Source organism: Homo sapiens, chromosome 6 (genome assembly GCF_000001405.40).
Source record: "Homo sapiens chromosome 6, GRCh38.p14 Primary Assembly".
Taxonomy (NCBI): Eukaryota; Metazoa; Chordata; class Mammalia; order Primates; family Hominidae; genus Homo; species Homo sapiens.
The window spans coordinates 35,183,250-35,188,575 of NC_000006.12; the positions used below are offsets into that span (position 1 = coordinate 35,183,250).

The 5,326-nt window shown below is 46.6% G+C and overlaps 2 annotated features.

Moving 5' to 3' along the window:
• Positions 1,307-1,688: a silencer, noted in NCBI's record as "fragment chr6:35152333-35152714 (GRCh37/hg19 assembly coordinates)". NCBI's record gives its function as "represses an EF-1alpha promoter that drives an FKBP-Casp9 reporter gene in an ReSE screen in HepG2 liver carcinoma cells {active_cell/tissue: HepG2}" and the evidence as "EXISTENCE:reporter gene assay evidence [ECO:0000049][PMID:32094911]".
• Positions 2,083-2,377: a silencer, noted in NCBI's record as "tiled region #4993; HepG2 Repressive non-DNase unmatched - State 8:EnhW". NCBI's record gives its function as "represses a minimal TATA promoter and a strong SV40 promoter by Sharpr-MPRA in HepG2 cells {active_cell/tissue: HepG2}" and the evidence as "EXISTENCE:reporter gene assay evidence [ECO:0000049][PMID:27701403]".

Consider the following 5,326-nt stretch of genomic DNA (forward strand, 5'->3'; position numbering starts at 1 on the left):
TTTCTTTAAAAATTATTTACATACAATTCACCCACTTTAAGTTTATAGTTGGATGAATTTGGGTAATTGTACTTAATCAACAGTTCTCTCACCCTAAACAGTTCTTCTGCCCCTTTACAGCAGATCCTCTCTCCTCACCCCCATGGTGTGGATAATTTATTCAACTATCCCCTTCTGACAGGCATCCACTGTGTTTCCAGTTTTTTGCTACTGTGAGCAACAGTGTGATAAAAGCCCTTGTCACATATCTTTGTGTGCCCAGAAGTTGGATTGCTAGGCTGAATTGTCCCTGGATTTAATTTTAGAAAATATTTCAGATTGCTTTTGCAGAAGGTCTAACACTTAATGTCCATGTCCCGGCCAACAATGAATGAGGGTGCTTTTCCCCCACACCCCAGCGGCAAATAGGTGGCACAGCCCTTGGTGATTTCTTAGTCCTCTGAAACCACCCTGAAGTATCTGATTGTTACTTTAATTTGTACTTCCCTGACCCCTTAATAAACTTGAGCAAATTTTCATCTCCTTGCTGGCCATGGGCTTTGCTTTTCCAGGAACCACATCCCCTTGGTACATCTTTACATGCTTTAAGCATAGAGATTCCCACTCACCCAGAATGGCTGGGGAAGGAGGTGCTTGGAGTTTATGGAAAGGTCTAGATAATAGAGAGTTCCCTCATCTGTTACACCCAATTATGAGCTTTCAAAAGATGAGACTATAAGCAGATATATGTATAGTAATAGTATAGAGAATAGAGTGGGCTTTGGGGTTACTTACAAGTTGTGTGCTATTGGATAAGTTATCTAATCTCTCTGAGCCTCAGTTTGCTCATCTGTGAAATAGAGATAATGATGATTGCGCCACCTGTCTCTTTACAGTTGTGGAAGAGCTTAGCAGTAATTTATGTAAATAACCTGAGACATCACAGATAGCCAATAAATGAAGTCAGGTATGATATGCATGGTTTAGGCTTTCCTCGGTGGTTAAACAGGCCTTTTGGAGGCCTAGGGTTAGCTTGAATGTCAGTCCACATTGCATGGGTCTGGGTGAAACTGGGATGATTTAAGTTTCCTGTGGACCTAGTGATCAGATTCACAGAAACTCAGGCTTCACAACTTTGGCACTACTCATATTTTGGGCTGGATAATTTTTTGTTGTGGGTGGGGCTGTCCTGTGCTTCAGAGGATGTTTCGTGGTACCCCTATTCTCCACCCACTAGATGTCAATAGCAGACAGACAGACAGACAGACACACACACACACACACACACACACACACACACACACACCAGTCAAAATGATTAAAAATGTGTCTTCCCTGAGGCTGTCCTTGAAATGCCCAGCCTGGACACAGGGAAGACCAGGGAATGCTGAACCCACCAGGTGCTTTCCCCATATGTAGGAGCTGCCATGTCTGCCCTCAAAGGTCCAACAGTCTAAGTGTCCTCAGGCTGAACACCCTGGACTTGTCATTGACTAATCGTTGATTCTTATTTCTCCAGCCAGTCAGCCACCACGACCTGTTGATTTTCTGCATTTAGAACCTCCTGCACCTACCTGTCTTTTTCTCTGCATCATTCTCAGCATGGCACATAACCGGGGGCTTGGCAAGTGTGGGCACGATGCAGAGATGTTGGGAACTATTGTCAGGGATGCCCAGCTGGGCCAGGAGACACCACCAGGGGCCTTCCCTGGGGGTGGTAACAGTTTTCTTTTTTTTTAATCAGTTAGGACTCTTGTTTACCCTTTGTACCCAGCGCTAGCCCAGTGCCTGACACATAGTAAGCACTCAAAAATAATCTGGGGGTTTGATTAATCAATTGATTAATTAACTTGATACACACACACACATGCATGCATAGAGATGGCCTCTCTTTTTGCCGTCCATTCACATACACATTACCTTTCATTACAGAGACACCAGGTTACAAAGAAAACCCTTAAGAGTTTGCTGTTGACTTGAGCCGTGTCACTTGTAAGAAGGACAAAATATGTATGTGGTCAGTTCGAATCCCAGGCCTGAAACTGGAAATAAACTAACCCCTTGTTGAAATCGCACAGGAAACCTGAAGGGAGGTGGGGGAGACGGGTGGCAGGAAAAATGCCTGAGATCTTACACAACTTGTGCAAACAGAATGACAGGGCTAGGCAGCCCTGGGAGTCCAGGAATTAATAGCCCTGCCGAGGCTCCGGGGCTCTGGAGATGGAGCTATTTAAAGTCAAGAAATGTCATTTCCACCCACAGAGCCTGCCCCAGTTGCATTATCTGGAGCCTCTTCAGCCCCGGTGTTCTGGCAGCCTCCTGGCCTGACCTCCCAGTGGCGGGACCACGGGGCTCAAGGCCAACCTGTCATCACTGCTCTGTTGGGAGATTGTGGGGGGGTGGGGGGGGCTGACCTTAGCCTCTCCCAGTTCCTCCTCTTCCTCTTCTCTGCTCAGGCCCAGGACAAGCTGAGTGGACACTCAAGGCCCAGCTCACCCCTCTGCAAAGGCTACTGAGAGTACTAAGGTTGCTGCCCACATACAGGGGCCAGCCAGCCTGGCCAGCAGGGTAGGTCTGGGGTAGTGGATGGGGAGAGATGGGGTGTGGAGACATAGACCCTTGCCCACCAGAATCATACTCTTGTCCTGCTATATGACCTCAGGCCATTTGCTTAACCTCTCTGGACCCTCATTTCTTTACCTGGACTGGGAAATGAGAGTCTTCCTCTCCTTGCCCTATTTCTGGGGAAGGCCACAGGAGATCAGAGAAGGGATGTCTTTTGAACCTTTAGGAAGAAAAGCACCATAGAAATCCAGGTATTACCTGCAGCTCCTCCTCCCCTCCCTTCCAGGCAAGGTAATCCAGGAATGCTTCCTCCGGAGGCAAGAAGGCAGGAAGCTGGCATTTGAAGTGTCAGTGGGCTGTAGACTGTGTGACAGAGCCATCCAGCCCCATGCTCCCAGGAGCTGAGGTTCACATTCTTGCCAGGCACCTAAGGCAAGAACTCCCTCACATCCTGTCTGCTCTGATCTTACATATCTGTTCTGGCTGATGTTGCTGCAGTTTTGGGGAGGTGGGGGACTTAGAAGCCCAAACAATGTGCCAAACCAAGTTTTGCCCTGCAGGTGTCTAATGCCTGGGGATTGCTGGGCTTTTTTCCTGAAGCTGAGGAGAAAGCACAGTGGTGCTAAATGAGTTTCCAAGAGAGGTGTAATGAAATACCAGGGACACCCCAGCCCAAAGTCTTCCTGAACTCATTGCTGCTGCCACCCAAGGGGTAAAAGGGAGCTAGGAAATGTCTTTTTTTTTGTCTTTAGGAAACAGCAATGGAAATGCAGCCTTCTACTCTCTTAAGCCCCCTTCTCTTGTCTTATCTTAGAACTTGCGTGAAAGCTATGGATATTTTCCTCATTTAATTTTTTAATTTAATTATTCTAGACACACTAAAAGGTATGTATCAGAATAGTCTAGATTATGCTGCAGTAAAAACCCCAATATCTCAGTGGCTTAACACACACTTCTGCTTCTGCTACTTACTGCTTCTCACTTCTGCTACATGCCCTTTGTGGATGAGCAGGGGACTCTGACCATTGAAATCACTTAGGGACCCAGGCTGGTGGAACAGCCACCATCTGAAGCACTGTCAGAAGCAAAAGAGATGCCGGGCACAGTGGCTCATGCCTGTAATCCCAGCACTTTGGGAAGCCAAGGCAGGAGGATCACTTGAGGCCAAGTTCAAGACCAGCTTAGGCAACATAGCAGGACCCTGTCTCTAAAAAAATTTTTTTTAATTAGCCGGGTGTGGTGGTGTGCACCTGTAGTCTCGGCTACTCAGGAGGCTGAGGCAAGAGGATCACTTGAGCCCAGGACTTGGAGGCTGCAGTGAGCTGTAATTGTGCCACTGCACTCCAGTCTGGTGACAGGGTAAGACCCTGTCTCAAAAAAAAAAAAGAAAGGAATCTAGAGGGTCTCAAAAAGGCAGTTAATGCTCTAGCTCACAAATCATTGACCAGAACTAGTCACAGGGCCTCTCCCAACCACAGAAAACCTGAAATTACTATCCTACCAGGCGCTTGGAAGGGGAAGGACCCAGAAATGCTTGGTGGACAACAGTAATGATGACCGCAGAATAAAGAATTATATCACAGACACCGTGTACCTACCAACCTAGGAAATAACACTTTGCCAATACCAGGGAAGCCCTCTGTGTACCTGATGCAATCCCATCTCTCTGCTCTCCCCACAGAGGTGACCATTCTCCTGAATGTGATATTTGCCATTCCCTGTGTTTCTCTGTTTTACTATCTATTTCTCCATATTTACGATATGTAATAGTGTCTTGCATGTATTTAAAGACCATATAAGTGGTATCATACTGTATATATTCATCTGCAACTTTCTTTTCTGATCTACTGTGTGTTTCTGAGAGCCACCCACATTGATGAGTGAAGCTGTGATTGGTTCTGTGCTGTATACAGTCCCTTGTGTGACTACCGTAATGTCCAGTCTCCATGTCAGCTGCTTCCAGCTTTTCATGATTACATACAGCACTGCCATGAACATTCTTATGCACCTACAAAACAGAGCTTCTTCAGAGTAAAGACTTAGGAGGGCATCTTCCTATTGATGACATATTGCCAAATAGCTCTCTAAAATGGTTTTACCAAGTCATTCCACATCCTCACCATCACTTGGTTATGTTTGATGAGTGGGACATTCCCCGAAGGTTTTAATAAAGTTGAACTCTTTTTTCCTTTTGATACGGGGTCTCACTCTGTCACCCAGACTGGAGTGCAGTGGTGCAATCACAGCTCACTACAACATCTGCCCCCAGGCTCAAGTGATCCTCCCACCTCAACCTCCCAAGTAACTAGGACTACAGATGTGCACTACCAGGCTCTGCTAGTTTTTTTTGTATTTTTTGTAGAAACAGGGTTTCATCATGTTGCCCAGACTGATCTTGAACTCCTGGTCTCAAGCGATCCTCCCACCTCAGCCTCCCAAAGTGCTAGGATTACTGGCGTGAGCCACTGTGCCTGGCCTAAATTGAACTCATTAAGTCAGTTCATATATGTTTATCAAACACCATCTACGTACCAAGCACACAACTAGAAGCTGAGGGTAATGAAGGGGGATAGAACTCAGTCTCTGCCCTCAGTGAGCTTGCAGTCTGGTGAGAAATCACCTCATTCTCTTACCCACAGGAAACCACTGTCTTCTTTTTTTTTCTTTTTTTTGGAGATGGAGTCTTGCTCTGTTGCCCAGGCTGGAGTGCAGTGGCATGATCTTGGCTCACTGCAAGCTCTGCCTCCCAGGTTCACGCCATTCTCCTGCCTCAGCCTCCCAA